This window comes from Homo sapiens, chromosome 2 (assembly GCF_000001405.40).
Source record: "Homo sapiens chromosome 2, GRCh38.p14 Primary Assembly".
Lineage (NCBI taxonomy): Eukaryota > Metazoa > Chordata > Mammalia > Primates > Hominidae > Homo > Homo sapiens.
In genome coordinates, this window is record NC_000002.12 from 37,623,723 (window position 1) to 37,641,555 (window position 17,833).

At 43.0% G+C, this 17,833-nt stretch overlaps 7 annotated features.

The window, feature by feature from the left end:
* Positions 1,464-1,733: an enhancer, noted in NCBI's record as "active region_15590". NCBI's record gives its function as "activates an Ori minimal core promoter by ATAC-STARR-seq in GM12878 lymphoblastoid cells {active_cell/tissue: GM12878}" and the evidence as "EXISTENCE:reporter gene assay evidence [ECO:0000049][PMID:35858748]".
* Positions 5,213-6,412: an enhancer, noted in NCBI's record as "CDK7 strongly-dependent group 2 enhancer chr2:37856078-37857277 (GRCh37/hg19 assembly coordinates)". NCBI's record gives its function as "activates an origin of replication core promoter dependent on BRD2, BRD4, P300/CBP, MED14 and CDK7 cofactors, with strong dependence on CDK7, by STARR-seq in HCT116 cells {active_cell/tissue: HCT116}" and the evidence as "EXISTENCE:reporter gene assay evidence [ECO:0000049][PMID:35650434]".
* Positions 5,875-5,964: an enhancer, noted in NCBI's record as "active region_15591". NCBI's record gives its function as "activates an Ori minimal core promoter by ATAC-STARR-seq in GM12878 lymphoblastoid cells {active_cell/tissue: GM12878}" and the evidence as "EXISTENCE:reporter gene assay evidence [ECO:0000049][PMID:35858748]".
* Positions 5,975-6,024: an enhancer, noted in NCBI's record as "active region_15592". NCBI's record gives its function as "activates an Ori minimal core promoter by ATAC-STARR-seq in GM12878 lymphoblastoid cells {active_cell/tissue: GM12878}" and the evidence as "EXISTENCE:reporter gene assay evidence [ECO:0000049][PMID:35858748]".
* Positions 10,120-10,319: an enhancer, noted in NCBI's record as "active region_15593". NCBI's record gives its function as "activates an Ori minimal core promoter by ATAC-STARR-seq in GM12878 lymphoblastoid cells {active_cell/tissue: GM12878}" and the evidence as "EXISTENCE:reporter gene assay evidence [ECO:0000049][PMID:35858748]".
* Positions 10,340-10,409: an enhancer, noted in NCBI's record as "active region_15594". NCBI's record gives its function as "activates an Ori minimal core promoter by ATAC-STARR-seq in GM12878 lymphoblastoid cells {active_cell/tissue: GM12878}" and the evidence as "EXISTENCE:reporter gene assay evidence [ECO:0000049][PMID:35858748]".
* Positions 11,942-12,171: an enhancer, noted in NCBI's record as "active region_15595". NCBI's record gives its function as "activates an Ori minimal core promoter by ATAC-STARR-seq in GM12878 lymphoblastoid cells {active_cell/tissue: GM12878}" and the evidence as "EXISTENCE:reporter gene assay evidence [ECO:0000049][PMID:35858748]".

Genomic DNA, 17,833 nt, shown 5'->3' on the forward strand with positions numbered 1-17,833 from the left:
ATACCTGAAAATGTGGAAGCAGCTTTGGAAGTGGGTAATACATAGAGGCTAGGCTCTGAGAATAACTCACAGTGGTCAAGTGGCCTAGGAGGTGCCTTCAGGGAGACCAGAAGCACTTGATGGGATAAATAGTGGTCATAAGATAGGCAGTGTAAACTACCTCACTCTTCCCCACTCTTCCGTAGCATCTGCTGTGAAGATACTGTTTCTTATGGTTTTGTTAGTGGATTTCTTTGTGGAGCTCAAAGTTCTGAACCCAGGTTGATTCAACGTGAAAATAAACATTGATCGTGCAGGCTCAAGGAGCCAGAAGACAGGGGTCGGGGGATGGAAGGCGGGACAGTGGGCAATTGGGCTCAGAGTGATGTGTCCTCAGTGAGAATTCCAGTTTTGCCATAATCTTCCCTGTGAAGTTCTGAGAATGAGTGTACAATGCCATAATGTCCTGGACTATGGTGGGGATGGTGGGTGTTCCCCACACTTGAGCAGAACGAAGCCTGTGTAAGCTGTGAAACTGTCAGCTTTGGAGATTAGTCATCCTTGCTCAGACCCTATAAAGCTTTTGCATTAGTTAGGCTGATGTTTCACTTTTAACTCATATAATAGGCTTCAGACACTTGGAAATAGTGCTTTTATCATTAGGTATGTTGCCATTTTTATTTTTTCAAGTTTCTCGCTCTCTCTCTCACCACATAAGTACACTTAAAGCTTTACCCTTGCTATGAGGTTAACCTAAGGCAGAGGGTATGTTGCCAGCTATAGGCCAAAAGTCTGGGTAGGCATGCGAGAAAGAAATATTTTGGTAGCAATATAGCTTAGGAAGTCAATATTTTTTAACATAAGTGACAGCAAATATTTACAAATTCAGGCTACTGTGGGTGTTCAGATTCTGAGTGAAAAGCAATCTCATGCACTGATATTTACTTTGAATATGTTCTCCTTTTTTCAGCACCCATGACTAATTCCCCTTTTCACAGGGTGAAGAGCAAGTTGGCTCTTGATCTAGCCAGAAAAAAAAAAAAAGGTTTTCTTATACTTCTGGTAGTAGGCATGTGGTTAGAATACAGGAGTAAGAAAACAAATGTGACTCTTAAAATTATAGTACACATTAATAAACGAACTAAACATCTAAATGTTGCTAAAGTGACTGAATCACAGATCCACTGTTTCTTACTCTGGTTTTTGCTAGAGGGGCAATGAACATGTAAATTGAGGGTACAATGCAGCAAATGAACTAAATTAGAGACTTTATTTGAGTATTGTTGATGCCGGGAGAGATGAGAAAAATAAGACAAACCTTGCCTTCAAGGAACTTATATTTGTGAGGAAAATACATCAACAAAGCAAAGTCAAGTAATCATAAAAATATGAACGGCTCTTTAACAGTAGAAGGGAGGGAGAAAGCTGAGCGTGGTTAATTTATACATGGAATGTATGAAGTTGTTTCAGAGAGGCAAGAAATTATTTGCCTCTCTGAGTCTTCCTGGAAACAGTCTCCCTGGAGGAGGTAGATTTGAGTATTGAAAGGAGCATTCTAGGCAGGCAGAAGGCATGAGTGGAATCACAGAGGTGGTGAAAGATCCATGAGAGTGAGATGAGTAAGCCAGGCTGGCTGATGTGAGGTTTTGGGATGGTGAATAATTGGAGACTGTGCTGGAAATAGCTAGTGCATTGGACTCCAGAGGGTCTTAATTGGTGGGACAGGAGCTTCTGCATGCACCATGAAAGACCTGCTCTGACACAGTGAAAATCTCTGCATCTCCCTTTCCCACTGAGTCATCTTAGGCTTCCCTCTCTGCTTTTCCCTTGAAGCCAGGAGTCCATTCCCAGTGGGCAGGCCCATCCTTCCTGAAATCCAGCACAAGATGAGGCCTGGTAGGTGAGTGTGCAGGGCCATGGTGCAGACTCCTCCAAGCTCATCATTACTCCAGCTTGGTCAGGGTCTGTTTGGAAAATGGAGTGGTGACATCCTCTTGCCTCAGGATGTGTGGAAGCTCCTTCCATGTATACAGTAGAAACAGAGCATCTCTGATCCTTTATTACCCCCAGAACCCACTCTCCTGGCTCCTGGCCGAAGGGCCTGAGAAGCAATTGTAAAATTGGGAGCTTGCCCAAAGGACCAGTACTATATAAAGATTCATTTCAAACCCTGAGCAAGGCGTTACGGATGCAGACCTGATAATGAGCCATTATGAGAAAATGAAAAGCACAGACTTTGTGGTGGTGCCCTCAGAGCTAAGTAATTCTGGAGAGTAATTATGAAGCAGAAGAATGATTATACAAACTGCAGACTAAACATTTAGGCCCTGTGTGTGAGGCCAGCTGACAAAGCAGAGGTAATTAATAGGCAGTTACAATGTGGAAGATTCTGGAAAGTAGAGTTCTGTTGTCTGAAATTTAGTCTGACAGAGGAATATTAGCAAGATAAATGTATTTGGACCAAGCACTCCCGAGAGGAAGGGCATGCTCAAATTGTTTCTGTAAAAAGTCTCTGGCGGTGTTTGGCTCCCTTCTGCGTCCTTCATGAAACAGTTCTCCTTGAGTATTACGGTTGGCAAGCATGTGGGTGGGGGAGATGTCACACGCACCCGCTCCAGCTGTACAAGCAAGCCACTGCGAGGATTAGACGCTTGTTAGTTATGAACTTAGGTGTCTGGTCTGTTTCTTTGCCTTTCAAAGGCACTTCCTGGCAGAGAGGTACAATGGTGCTTTGCAGGAAACCCTGTGCCCACAGCATCTGTTCTGCAGCTTGGCAGACCGCAGCTGGCCCTGAGCATGGCCTACTAATTCTCTGGGTCAGGTGTGGCTGTGGTGAGATGGATCTCAGCCAGGTAAGACCCTCTAATCTCTGTTTTCTTTCTCCTGCCATAGATACACTGATGATTGGAGGGTATGACAGGAATTCTTGCCTGCCTTTGGGTCGTGAGGGAAACAGAGACAGCGTAATGGCTTTTTGGAGTGCCAGGAGCAGAGTCCCCAGAGTTCATTCTTAGAAAACTATGAAGCTGTTCTTTGAACTCCAACTTTTTCTCCTATATTCATTCAGGGCTCTTTCCTCTACAACCCCCTCATTCTTGCTGTTGATAGATGCCTCTTTCCTACTCTCTAAATGTCCAATTTTATCTTCCTTTGGAATGCCATCAAATTCTTCCTCCCTTTTTCTGTACCCCACCTCCAAAAATAATCCCAACACCCACCTCGTCAGAGTGTCCATTTATTTCCTCAGGGCTAATCCCAGAAGGAGCATACAAGTTGGTGAACTCATACTAATATGTGAATGATTGTTGCCCTTGGATGGTTAGAAAATCAAGGTAGTTGTCCACTGTAGAAGATTGTTTAAAGCCAAGTGGTTAAGAATATTCTATATCCTTCCTTTTGCATATATTATCTCGTTCATCCTTGTGAAGCAGATAATCTCACCATCTCAATGTACAGAAAAGGAAACTGAGGCTCAGAACATTTTGAGTAGCCTACTTAAATAGTCTAGGCAGAGATTGAACCCCCACGTCTCTGGCCCCAAGAGGTCTTGATAATTCCCTCACAACTGCTGCCTAACAGCAGATAAAATATATTTGGATTCTTCTCACCTTTAAGAAAACCTAGTAAGTTAATCTCTAAAAATCAGCAATCTGCTCAGGGGATACAGGGAGAACTAGGACTATTGTCCCAAATGTGTAGTCATATTTATCTGCTTACCAAATGACCATGTGTTGAATCCCTGAAAACCATGGGAGAAATACCAATTAAAAAAAAAATCAGAGTTCTGTGACTTCTTCTTTACTAGGTTTCCCTAAAATTATGTTTTACTACAAAACCCTGAGTATAGACCACATGCTACGAGATGATCCGTGATATCTCTTAGCCCAGTTATAACAACTTACAGTTTTCCTTTTTTTTTTCTAATTGAATACAATGTTCCCAATTATATTAGTTATAAAAGATAATTGCAAAAACCATGCCTGGTCATTTAAAGTCATCTTCTTCTTGAACCAGTTGGTTCCATCTGGTCTTCTGGATGAAAGAAGTGGAAGACACTGAGCTGAGTTCTGCCCTCCAGTGAGCTTTGTTCTCCAGAAGTTACTTTCTATGATGCCAAACCCACACATCTGGTGAGAAGCAGATGAGGAAGTTTCCCTTGGGATAACCCAACTGGAGGTGATTCACATCACTCAAGGGTGATGCCATAGTCAGAAAAGGAAACTTGACTTAGGCAGAAAAGGAATTGTTGTCTCTCATAACCAAACCATGGGAGCATAGGGTTGTGGCTGGACCTTAGGAATAATCTGGATGAGGAGTCAATGATCCTAAGCCTTTGTCTCCCCATCCCTGGCCTCTGCTTTTCTGTACTTGTTGATTTCATTTTGTCTGACAGACATCCTCCTGACAGCTGAAAACAAGACCAGCAGAAGCAACCAACCCTCACTGCTCACAGCTTGGGCCCAGTGCTCAGCCCCAGGACCAGCTGACACTGATAGTAGCTGTTTTAAACCACAGGAATAAAATGGAGGAAAAATCATCTTCCAAAGACGAGAAATGCTGCTCACAAAAGAAAGGTGCTGTGTAGATTCCCAGTAAACAATATTATCTATAAATGACTCTGGGAATCACTAATAAGTGATGATGAAGCTGATTATGCATTATATAAATGTTTAGATTTGAAAAAAATTGATTTATAGCATATAAAATCCCATTATTTTATATTACTGAAATAGGAATATGAAGGAATGGAAACATTTTATTTTAAAAACATAAAGTTACACTAAGACATTAGCTCCTTTGACTCACATATTTCAAAAACAATGACGGTTTTCAGTGGAAAATAATGCTAAGAAGTTCTGAAAATAACAGTAATAAGGAAGAATTTGAGTAATGAAACATTTATTCACTCATTTTCCTTCAAGTATGTACAATATAGCTATAAAATAATTAGACTAAAAAATGGCAGGCACAGCAGAACCTTAAACCAACAAATTTAAAGTATAGACATTTTGTTGGTATAATAAGAGCATTAATATGTATTGAATGTTTACCAAGTGCAGGTAACTATTATAAAACCTTTATTGGCATGATCTGAATTAGTTCTCAAAACAAATAGTTGGCAAACTAAGGCCTGTGGGCCAAACTCGGCCCACCTTCTATTTTTGTACAGAGTTTTATTGGAACACAGCAACACTCATTCAATTATGCATTGTCTATGGCTACTTTTATGCTACAGAATTGAGCTGTAGTGGCAGAGACTGTATGGACTACAGAGCCTGAAGAATTTGCCATCTGGCCCTTTACAGAAGAAGTTAGTTGATCCCTGCAAAACAATCCAATGGAGTAGGTACTGTTATTTCTGCTTTACCCCAAGGTCACAGAATGGTAGTTGTCAGGGTAGTGATTCAAATCCTGAACTGTCTGACTATAAAGTCTATCATCTTTTTAGATAGATTTATAGCACAGAGCACAGGCCCTAGAGTCAGACTGTTTGGGTTCAGATCAGATTCTACCATCTAGTAACTGCATATTGGACAGTTTGCTTAACTGCCCTGTACCTCGGATTCCTCCATAACTCTTCCCATTGGTAATAGATGTGGCTGGTCATCCTTCGTGTCAGTACAGGCCTTGGACCCGGGGTGTCTGTCCTAGGCCCTGCATCTCAGGGCCTCCCATGCTTTGGAGTGCCTCCTTCAACATTCTCAAAGTTTCTCTGGGAACAGCTGGAGTAGCAGTGCCATCTGGGCAGGGTACCCTGAGCTGGGACCAGTAAGTATCCTAGTCCCCATTTCTGCCCTTTGGATTGCTCTTTGATCTCTACTTCCCAGCCCTCATGTGGGGCTGATCTGATGCCCCAAGGAGCTCCAGGACTCATATCTGTGGGTTTATTTTGGGATCCTTGACCTGGCCCTGATTCCGGGTGGGTGACCAGATGAGCCACTGCTCCCCAGAATAGCCCAGTTTTTCTTGTTGAGTCACCAGGCAAGTGCAGACATGTTGATTTTGATGACTCTCACTTACGTAAAACCCATACGTTCAGGGCTCTGAGGTTCTCATGGCCCACTGCTGGCCCTTGACTAGAGCCATATGTGGGGTCCATGTGTCAGGTCTCACCTCTCCATGTCTGAATAAATAGTGGCTTCCATTCTACAGCACCCCAAGGTAGTAAAGGTGGTGTCACTTACCCTCTCCCCTGTACCCCTCCCATCACTAGCACCAGGAAAGTCAAACCCCATCGCTGAGCATTCCTCCAGAGCATTGTCTGTCCCCAAAGAACATTTGACACTTGTTCTGCAATGTTAGCAGACCCTCCTGCTTGAGGCCCTCCAATCGATGTGTTGCCTGTGTCAATGTGTTGACATGAACCCTCTGTGCTTAAGCCATGTTGGGGAGACGTGGACATTTCTTGTACAAATAGGACCACTCTTCTTTTTCTACCCATGGGTTTCCCCCACCTCCCCATGGTGAAAGTGTGTGGAAGGCAAAGGTGCTGTCAACATTAAAAGAAATCACATTCTAGGAATGCAGGAATTACCGTAGGGAGTTCAAGAGAAGATATGGTCAGAAAATATGCTCTTCTATATTTATGCTATAAAATTTCAAACAGTGAATTTAACATTCTCAGAAAATGAATTAACATTCACATTTTCCTGCATATTCTGGGCAAGACTTGACTTTGTGGTCATCATCTCCAAAACACAGTAACCGCCCTCCCTTGAGAGCATCAGTGGAAGCCAGGATTCATGGGTGGCAGCAGGGATGACACAACATCATGATTGATGATATAACCAGCATTAAATAAATGATATTAAGGAAATCCAGAGGCTAGAAAAGCTGTTATTTCAATACAAACAAATGCTGAAGAGCCAGTGTTGTAATAACAGCATTGCAACCCTTTTCTCCCAGTGAGACATGTGGAATTAGCACATCTAACAATAAAAAACACAAAGAGGATTCTGGCATCTGCACAGAAAGTGATGGTGCCTAGACACTATGAAAAAATCTTCCCTTGCACTGATTGAACAATAAGCAAATACAAAAATACCTGTTCTTTACCCATTATTCTAAATCTTCATTGATAAATCATGACTCAGATAGGCCTACGAATTTTGTAAAACATTAAATCAAATTCCTTATACAGACAGGGACTTGGCAGAAAATATTTTCCAGGGACACATACCATAAAGATGCCCTGCTTGGTATTACCTCATTTTCTTTTCTATGAAGTCACTCTTGCTTTCACTTGCAGTTTCTCCTGTCTTTCTTCACGTTGGTGCTTTCCCATGTTTTTTTTTTTTTTCTCGTTTAGGGTGTTCTTTCCTTCTTTTCAAAAATCACTTTATGCTTTGTAATATTTGTAGCCCTCAACTTCTTTCCAAGCAGGTAATTTTGCCTTTCTCTCTGTCTCTTTGGTCATCTGCCTGTCTTAGCCTTTCAGACATTCTCACACTGTAATACACACATGCACGTGCACACACACACTCTATACATATACACTATGCACATATCATATATACACACAACTGATAAACATTTTGTTTTAACGTACAAGCAGCATGTTTACACAGAATTTGTCCTTGGCTTTAGTAACTATACTCACCAAATAGAGGGCTACATATGTGATACAGGAGAGTCAGTCCAGGATTACTTGCTTTCATTCTCAATCTTGTCTGGATAATCAGGTTACAGTATGCTAAGGACATCAAGATGCCCAGAATGGCACAAGTGGAAATTCTTTTAGATGCCTTGTTGTGCGCTCTTGAGTGTCTGTGGTTAGAACTTGATTCTTTACTGGCCTATGGATCAAGTGTCCTGTGGTTTGTGACAGCTGCAGCATTGGATGAGATAACTGGGGGTGCCAGGCATAATTCATCCCCGTATGTCCACATTCTGACTATAGAAAGCTATTGACCTAAAATAACATTTTATATCATTTAAAAATATTTGGGTAGCCTAAGATCCATTTTTTTGTTTTGGATCAGGAGGTACTACATCCAATTTTTACATGTCGTACCTCTTTGTTTTCACAGATAATTTATATTTCTTTATCTCTGACACTATTTGGCTGTCCTAGAAATAGCTGATGACACCAATTAGGAGATACGCTCAGTCACTGATGACGTCCTATCCTATTATGTGTTCATGCACAGCAGGGCAGGGTATCTGAAATGCATTTGCTTTAGCACATTTAGATAATGTGTGGGAAAGGTGACAGGTTTTTATTTTCTTTTTTGCCAATTTGTACATTAGTGTCTCTTAAGTGGCAGATTAAAAATTTCTTAAAGCACTAACACTGATTAAAAATGTTTGTTTAGGCTTGTTCAGAACTCTTAAGTGCTTGCAGGAGCCAAATCACATTCTCGTCCTTTAAGCAAACAACATTTTAAAAGCCTATAATGGCTGTATCTTATTGAAGCAAATGATAATAACTTTCTATAGGGCTATTTTCTTTTATAAGGTAAATAACTAAAACTTGTAAATATGGAAAAATAATCCAGATCCATAGACATATTTGTAAGTATATATTTCTTAAAAATGTTTCAGTCCTATTAGTCTCTATCATTTTAATACACTGGCAAAATATATAGTACTTTGTTCTTTTCTCAAAACTCTTTTTCAGAATTTATGGCATTTCTTGTACCTGGTAAAGACTACTGATAAGCCATTTCTTGTGGACTAATAAAAAAAATTAGTTTTTGGTAAGCATTAATTTTAGTCTCTGCTTTTTATCTGTTTATTCATTCTTTCATCCTTCATTCAGCAATAGCTTCTGTGCTGGGCTGGGAGTCAGGTTGGAGGAATGTGCCCTCTCACCAGGAGGATGGACTTGATTGTATCACTGTGGGGGACCCACTGAATAGTGGGACCTCTGCAAAGTGCAGTGCAGCCCAAGAGGAGAGAACAACTGATTCTAACACAGGCTTCACAGAGAAGGTGACAGAGGTTTTAACGGGTTAGTAAAAAAGGAGTTCATGCAAAGACAGAAAGGCTGAAAAGACGGGTATTTGGGGAGTTCTGCAATGGTAAATGAGGGGGAAGCTAAATGTGTGTGGCTGGTGGCATAAGTAACGTGGGATGTGTAGATTGAGGCCAGAAGGCGAAGGGACTTGAGTGCCATTTTCAAGACTTTGTTTGGACTTTGTCTCCTAGCTATGGAGACCTCATAAGGACCTTTAGTCAGGGTGGTGACTTAAGAGTGGGCACTATTGGAATCAGAGGCTCTTACAATAACTGTGAGAGGGAATAAGGACTTAAGGCAAAGACCTTCTTTGTGATTATAGACAAATTTATTATGCAATACAATAGATAAAAAAGATTAATGCATAAGTCTTCATAGCCCCTCTTCCTCTTCTTCCCCATACCCCCCAGGAAAATTCTAGCAGAGCTATGGATTATGAATTGGATTTTCTTTGGAGTTCTTTAAGAGAAGAATATAAATATTCTAAATGCTTTAATTCTTCTTTGTTGCTACATCTTGATTTGTTTGTTTTTTCACTGTAACTGCACTGAGATCAGTCCCCATGGAGCTCTAGGTTATTAGGGCTACATAACATGTTTTTTTTTTAGGAGAGCCAGTATAATGTTGGGTGACCCAAAGGTTTATGCCTACTTGGGGGCAGTTTGAAGACCTACTAGTTAGTCACATCTACAAAGATAAGATAGGCAAGGTTTTAAAAACCCAAATCCTGTCTGGTTTCCTGCTACCACAGTAATTTCCTGAGGAATACTCCAGGATAAGAACATGCTGTTTATTACCAGCTAGGGCTTTGTCCTTGACACCTCACAAAAGTGCCTGTTCCAGGTCATGAACTTGGGTCAATCTGTGGGCAAGATGTAAGAACCCTTTGCCTCCTCTGAACTCGGAAGCAATTGAGATGACATCCATCTTTGGATGTTCTCTCCTGGACTCTACCTGGTTCCTGCTTGGTTTTCTAACAGAGGGAAAAAAGAGGATGCCGCTTTCCAACCATAAGGAGGCCTCCATCCAATCTTATCCTATCAGCTGCCAGGAAGGAAAAAGAGAGAAGTGATCTCTGTTCTAAGAAAGTTGCATTTTAAAGGAAGAAGTTCTGAATGAAGTGCCCCAATCAGGAGCAAGGATGCTTATCTTCTTTCCTCCTCTGATATGGTTTGACCGTGTCCCTACCCAAATCTTATCTTGAATTGTAGTTCCCATAATCCCCATGTGTCATGGGAGGGACCCAGTGGGAGGTAATCGAATCATGGTGGTGTTTACCTGCATGCTGTTCTCGTGATAGTAAGTTCTCATGAGATCTGATGGTTTTATAGGGGCTTTTCCCCTCCTTCTCTCTGCACTTCTTCTTGCTGCCACCATGTGAAGAAGGGTGTGTTTGCTTCCATTTCTGCCGTGATTCTCTTTCCTGAGGCCTCCCCAGCCCTGCAGAAGTGTGAGTCAATTAAACCTCTTTCCTGTATATTTAATCAACTATCTAGTCTCTGTTATGTTGCTCCATTAGCAGCATGAGAACAGACTAATACAGCTAACCCACTTTACCCTTAGCAGCATAGATTCAATTCCACCTTCTTTGTGGAATTGAATTCCTAATTCATATTAGGGTGTTGGGCAGAGTGAGTATTTGACTTTCATTTATTCATTGGATTTTACATCCAGGTTGTGCCACTAGCACAAACAGTTCATGGAGGGCCTTGTATACCTGTTTAGGAATTTGGGCTTTGTATGGTAAAGGAGAGTTTCTGAAGGTTGTTAATTAGGGACTTTATGGGTTTAGATGTTCAGTTAGAGAAGCTTAAAATATTTTTTAAAATATAGTATCTAAAAAATATTTTTAGAGCCCATCACTCAAAATTAAAAAGGAAAAACATTGGCAGGGGTCATTCTAAAGACAGTGAAATAGTTAGGAAGCTGTTGCTATATAATAGAAGCAAGGTATGATGAGGGCCTGAATGGAGTCAGTGGCAGTGGGATTGGAGAAAAGAGATTGGACATGAGAAATATTTAGGAGGCAAAAGAAGAGGGTTGTGTGGAAAAAGGAGTCACTTCCCGGGTTTTGTCCTGAGAAGCTGGCTGGATGGTATTGTCACTCACAAGCACAGGAGAAGGAGGATGGAAGCATATTTTTGTTGGTGGTGAACTTGATTTGAAATATGGTAAATTTGGGGTTCTGGCAGGCCAAACAAGCAGAGATGTCCAGGGCTCATCTGGATATTCAGGTCTGAAGCCCAGGAGTTGTATTTGGGCAGGAGATAGAGATGTGGGAGTCATCAGAAAATAGATGGCAGTTGAAGCTCTGAAACAAGACATCACCAAACAGAAGAATGAGAATGACCCTAGGGTGCGTGGTAGCAATGGGGTCAGTAGTCGAAGAAGAACCGGGAAGGATTCACAGTGGTGTAGTTGGTGGGAGAGAAGGAAAACCAGAGAGAAGGGAGTGAGAGGAGCAGCAGTGCCCTGGAGAGTCAAGTGCTGCAGAGAAGAGAAGAAAGGGAGGTAGGGTGGGGAACATCTGTGACTTTAGGAAGGTGGTTCATTGGTGACTGCTGAGCGCAGCTTCAGTGAACGGTGGCAGTAGATCTGGAGGAAAGTGACTCAGTGAATGTGAGGTGAGCAAATGGAGACATTGGTGTAAATGCCCCTTTCGAGGTTGTGGAAGTGGCTCACGTTTTTGAGGCAGGGCTGTGTTTGTTTTTCAGAGGTAGGGACTCGAGCATATTCTCTGCAGAAGCCCCCAGTCAGTGAGACTGGTAAAGACTGTTGTCATGTAGTCAGAGGCAGAGTCTCAGTTCTACTCCTTCTCTTATCTCTGTCACACTGAACACTTCTGCTCTTTCTTAAATCACCAGTTGGCTCCTGGGGCTCCCAGGCCTTTCTGGGTTTGCTCTGGGTTTATTCACCTCTTGTGTCAGTCTGTTCTCATACTGCTATGAAGCAATACCCGAGACTGGGTAATTTATAAAGGAAAGAGGTTGAATTGACTCATAGTTCTGCAGGACTGGGGTTGCCTCAGGAAACTTATGGTCATGGCAGAAGCGGAAGCAAACATGTCCTTCACGTGGCAGCAGGAGAGAGAAGTGCAAAGGGGGAAAACCCCTTATATAAAAACATCAGATCTTGTGAGAACTCACTATCATGAGAACAACATGAGGGTAACTGCCCCCATGATTCAATTATCTCCTGCTGGGTCCCTCCCATGACACGTGGGGATTACGGGAACTACAATTCAAGATGAGATTTGGCTGGGGATGTAGCCAAACCACATCACCCCTGTTAGAGGTGGAGGATTTGCTGTGCCCCACTCACTGCCACCCCCACTGCCACCAGGGCAGTCATGTCTCACATGGTGCGACATTTGGTATCCCCACTCCTTCACCCACTTGTGCCTTCAGAGAGGACTCGGAGCCCTCAGGAGAGCTACAGGGTAGTCCCGTAAATAGCCAGGGGCCAGTGAGATGATGTACTCTGAGGAGAGGCTTCCCACAATACAAACCTTAGGTGTCAAATGTGCTATGAGGACACTGAGGCATTGTACCCTCAGCACCTGTGGCAGGTAGGTGGGGCCCAGGCCAGCCACAACAGCCCTTTCATTTCCCCATGGTGCTGTCCCAATGTCATAATTTTCTTTGTCATGATATGGGAAGCACTGCCTGATGGGGCCCCACCTCCAGCACATTGGCTGTCTCTCTGTCACTTGGCTTCCTGAATGGTATTTAAACGCCCCCCGCATCACTGTTGGGTCTCAGCAAACTCTCTGGCCTCTTGTTCAATTTGCCCTCTGCATACTGGGAAGGCCTATTTAACTTTGCCTGGCATCTGTGTGGAAGAAACACTTCTTAGGCAAAGAGCTCCTGGAAGACAATCTCCCTAGCAACAATGAAGCATCCTCTCTACAGTCTTTTCTGCCTCTCTTTTGTTGTTATCTGGATGACAGGGATTGAATCTGGCCTCTGCCCATATCAAATGCTGTCTGGGGCTGGAAACAAGCCTCAAAACATGTTTTAAATATTTTATTTCCCCCCGTCTCCCCTAAGTCTGCCCACCATGCATACGCTTGATTAAAGTTATGCCCCAGTGATCAACTGTGAGTGACAGTGACCCTCCTAAAGGTAGTCTACTTAGCCTCTGGGCTCAGGCAACACACCTGTGTCTGATTAGACACTGTTACCCTGCTTGAACCTGTGCCACATGAAAGCAGCTTTCTCTTGTGCTCTGGTAGTGGGAGATGCTTTCTTGTAATGTTAATGCAGGGCTAGACTTTTCTCCTGCTGATCCTTTGCCTGGAATGTTCTCCTCTTCCTTGTCACCAGCCAGAGCACCACTAAATCAGTGTAAACTCCTTAAGGGAAGACTAAAGTCCTGGGAAGTGGGGTCATCCTGGCCTTATCTCCTTAAAGAACCTAACTCTTCAAGGGGGTCTTCCCTGTTAACCCTCTGTATTAGTTGGCTAGGGCTGCAGTTGCCAGTACCATGAACTGCGTGACTTAAACAACAGAAACTAATTGTCTCACAGTTTTGGAGATCAAGATCAAGGTGCCAGCAGGTTTGGTTTCTCCTGAGACCTCTTTCTTTGGCTTGCAGATGGCCACCTTCTTGTTGTGTCCTCCCATGGCCTTTCATCTGTGTGTGTGCATCCCTAATGTCTCTTCCCCTTTTTATAAGGACGTGAGTCCTATCCAATTAGGGTCCCACCCTTATGAGCTCATTCAGCCTTAATTACTTCTTCAAAGGCTTTAGCTCCAAATATAGTCACACTGAGGGTTAGGGCTTCAACATATGAATTTTAAGGGAACACAGTTCAGTCCACCTCATTATCCTTAACGTTTTCCATTTTTCTGTATTCTCTCCAGTGCTTGGGTATTGCATCAGTTTCCTATAATTGCTTTAGCAAATTACTAAAAACTTGGTGGCTATAAACAACAGAAATTTATTGTCTCACAGTTCTAGAGGCCAGAAGTCTGAAATCGGTGTCACTGGGCCGAAATCAAGCTGTCAGCAAGGCTGTACTCCCTCCAGAGGCTCTAGGGGGAAATCTGTCCCTTGCCTTTTTCACTTTTTGGTGGCTGGCAGCATTCCTTGATTTCTGGATGCATCAATCCATCCTCTGTGGTCACATTGTCTACTCCTCTTCTGGTCAAATTTCCCTTTGCCTCTCTCTTATAGGGACAATCGTGATTGCATTTAGGGTCCACCCAGATAATCCAGACTAATGCCCCATCTCAAGATCCTTAACTTAATCATATCTGTAAGGCCCCTTTTACCAAATAAGGTGACATTTATAAGTTCCAGACATTAGAATCTCCTATCTTGGGGGCCATTATTCCACCAGCCACAGGAGTATTGTTCATAATATATCATTTGATGTTTAAACAAATGATGTATCATTTGATGTTTAACAGCTGACCTACAAAAAGAGCCCTTGTTGCAAGGGCAGGAGACACAAAGATGTTTTTGCTGGGTGTGTTCAGACAAGATCACACCCTTCATACCATAATCTAGAGCCTTGGCTCTGTCCTCCCACATGACCTTCGCCTGAGGGGAGGGGCTGGGGACTAGGGAGCCAAGGAGTCTCCCTGGGGAGGTGAGGTTTCAGATGATCCAGGGGTTGGAAGAAGTTTCTCCCATGCATTTTTATCTCATGGCTGGTTAAGAGGGGTGGGCATCCCACTCCCGGAAGCCATTTCACTTTGAATACTTTGTTTACTTCTGGTTAGAAGAGTCTTCAGGAGTGTGGGCTCTGGTAAGAAGGTCCCATTTTCCCTGGACTTATACAACCAGGTCTGCTTCTTGTGTTTTGCTATCGTGACACTTTTACAATTTTTCCTCTCAGTTACCTAAGGTACCTGATGAATAGTCAACATGTTTGTGAAGTCCAGAGTGCCAGATGTATTGAAAATGAGCAATTTTAATCAACGGTGAACCTACCTCTTTATATTTTTTTTTTAAAAAGAGGGCGATTACTGAAGCTTCACAAATAGTGCTTTATTTAGTCATAGGAGCCATGATCTGGTACTAGGATGGGAGGACTTTATTGGCTGCTAATCTAAGATTGTGTTTGTCTGTTCTTCCTTCTTGCCATTTATGGTGGAAAAATCTTCCAGAGCACCACAGGTGTTTTGTTTCTTGCTTCTAGTCCCATCCCAATTTCATTTTCATGAAATGGGAGTCAGGTTTGGAAGATAATTACCAATTTCCTTTTCCTACTTTTAACAATGCCCCTGCTTACGGTACAAAGTTGTGTCTGAACATTACTGCTTATTCTGAAAAACTCAATATGTAATTTTTAATGTCGTTTCAAGCCTTTTGAAGTTTCATCTGTTTCTGGGGCATTGCTAATGGTTTACCTTACAACGCAGAAAGAACTTATAAAGGAGATGTCAGGAGAAAATAATAATCTCCTCAATGCAATCATGTCATTAAGATGCTACTGTTAAGAGTGGGGGATGAGGCAGAGGAAAGACCAGACAGTGACTTAGAAACATGAGCATTTGGCATCGAAGGCATTACTGTCTTGAAGCCTTCTGGCCTGTAGGGTGTATGGAAACATGTCAGTTATGGAGAGTTTTATATTAATCTCCTGTACCATCTAATTTGGTTGATTCAAAATTAGGTTTAATTACAAGTGATCTTCTGGCACTAGGGAGACCGGCCAACAATAACCTTCATTATCTCTTCTGGTGAAGGCCACATTTGCTCTCAGGTAAATCTCTCAGAAAAGCTCATCACTGCCCATTTTTCTTTGGTCCCAGGCAAAATTATGCATTACATGAACTCACTCTTCATGTTTTTCCTGGTCTCTCTTGCTACCTGGTCCCAGGCCAGTTGCTAGAGACTTGTGCTCCCACAGTGGGCATCTGATAAGTGAGTTCACTTTTCACTGTTGGTGGCTTGCAGATGTTGTTACTCCTGGAATTATTCTAAGGGGACTCCATGCCTAATAGAAAAAGCCTCACCTAAAAAGGAACCCATCTCCAAGGGTAGATTTTTCTAGCCCTGGGGCAGCTGAGTGTAGAAGAAATTGTTTTGAGCAGTACTGTTTTTCTAGGGTCACACAAGTTCTGCCTATTTCACTTGTAACAATGCTGCCCATGGGTATAAGGATGACATCCTTTGGAGTTTTAATGCACATTTCCTGGGACTTAAAGATGGGAATTTTCTATGGACACAGTACCTCAAAGGGTTTCTTTGTTGGGATTTTCGAGACCCAAATGTAATGAAAGAATCTTTTCACTACAGATGATCCTTGACTTATGATGGGGGTTACGTCCTGATAAGCCCATTGTAAGTTAAAAAATGTAAGTAGAAAATGTGTTTTCAATTAAGAACCATCCTAAGTCGGGAACCATCTGTACTTTTGTGGGTATTTGGGGTGCAAACGTTGGGGACCATGTGTTATGCTGATAATGACCATCTTGCTGATGTGCCTTGTAGGGTAAGGACTCACCCTGGGAGAGACTGTGAGTTTCCCTGAGGGGTGGACAGTCCACACGTCACCTCTGGGAAGAGGCAGGTCCTCGGAAGTCTGGGGCTTCTGCTCCTCTCTGAGCCTCAGTTCTATGAGTCTGGACTTCAAGGAGTTTGAGAGAACTTCCAGGGCTGTTTGTTTCTACTCAATTGAATTGTTTTTCCTACTTTGTAAGCCATAACTCCTGGCTCTCTTGGGTTCTAATGACCCAGGAGACTCTTCAATGACATTTGGATTCTGTTTCCTGGGGAGCTTTCTTCCTTAATCCTGGGGATACTCAAAGTGTAAGCCAGCCTGGGAAAAGATGGATTGAAAGGAGTTCCGAGGAGGGAGGATCACGAGTTCAGGAGATCAAGACCATCCTGGCTAACAAGGTGAAACCCTGTCTCTACTAAAAATACAAAAAAAATTAGCTGGGCGTGGTGGTGGGCACCTGTAGTCCCAGTTACTAGGGAGGCTGAGGCAGGAGAATGGCGTGAACCTGGGAGGCGGAGCTTGCAGTGAATCGAGATGGCGCCACTGCACTCCAGCCTGGGTGACAGAGGGAGATTCCGTCTCAAAAAAAAAAAAAAAAAAAAAGTTCCTGGGGCTGGGCACAGTGGCTCACGCCTGTAATCCCAGCACTTTGGGAGGCCAAGGTGAGTGGATCATTTGAGGTCAGGAGTTTGAGACCAGCCTGGCCAACATGGTGAAACCCTACCTCTACTAAATACAAAAATTAGCCAGGCATGGTGGTGAGCACCTGTAGTCCCAGCTACTTGGGAAGCTGAGGTAGGAGAATCAGTTGAAACCAGGAGGTGGAGGTTGCAGTGAGCCGAGATTGCGCTACTGCACTCCAGCTTGGGTGACAGTGAGACTCTGTCTCAAAGAAAAAGTTCCCGGGGATATAGCTGGTGGGACAACTGCCCAGTGTGTTCAGCCCAGGGACTGCAATACCAGCTTGCTTCATCTGGAGTTGTTTCAGGAGACACTTAGCCCCTCTCACTTCCTTCACCTTCGTAAATGACTTTCCCTGAGCACCTCACGTCAACCTCACTATTGAGGTGTCCCTACTCTGGCCTTCAGGTCTCTGAATGGGCACTATAGACTGGGCATGAGCTTTCACAAAATGCTGGCTAATTTTATATAAATATCTATCCTGGGAACCACCTGTTCAGCAGTCTGATTCTAGAATCTTCTTCTACTGGAGTCTTCTCAGGAGTGGATCCCAATCTTGCAGACCTAGAAGTGGGCATTTTTTACTCCAATCCCTGTTTCTGGACTGTTTTGAATAGAAGCACTACTAGGATGTGAGTGTATCCTTTGGTTAGCTCATCATATTCTTTCCCTTCCAAGAATGCCCCCTCTCCCTAAAATGATCTCAGCAGACCCTCAAGGTACCTTTTGGGTCCTTCTCTTCCACAAAACTGCCCCAG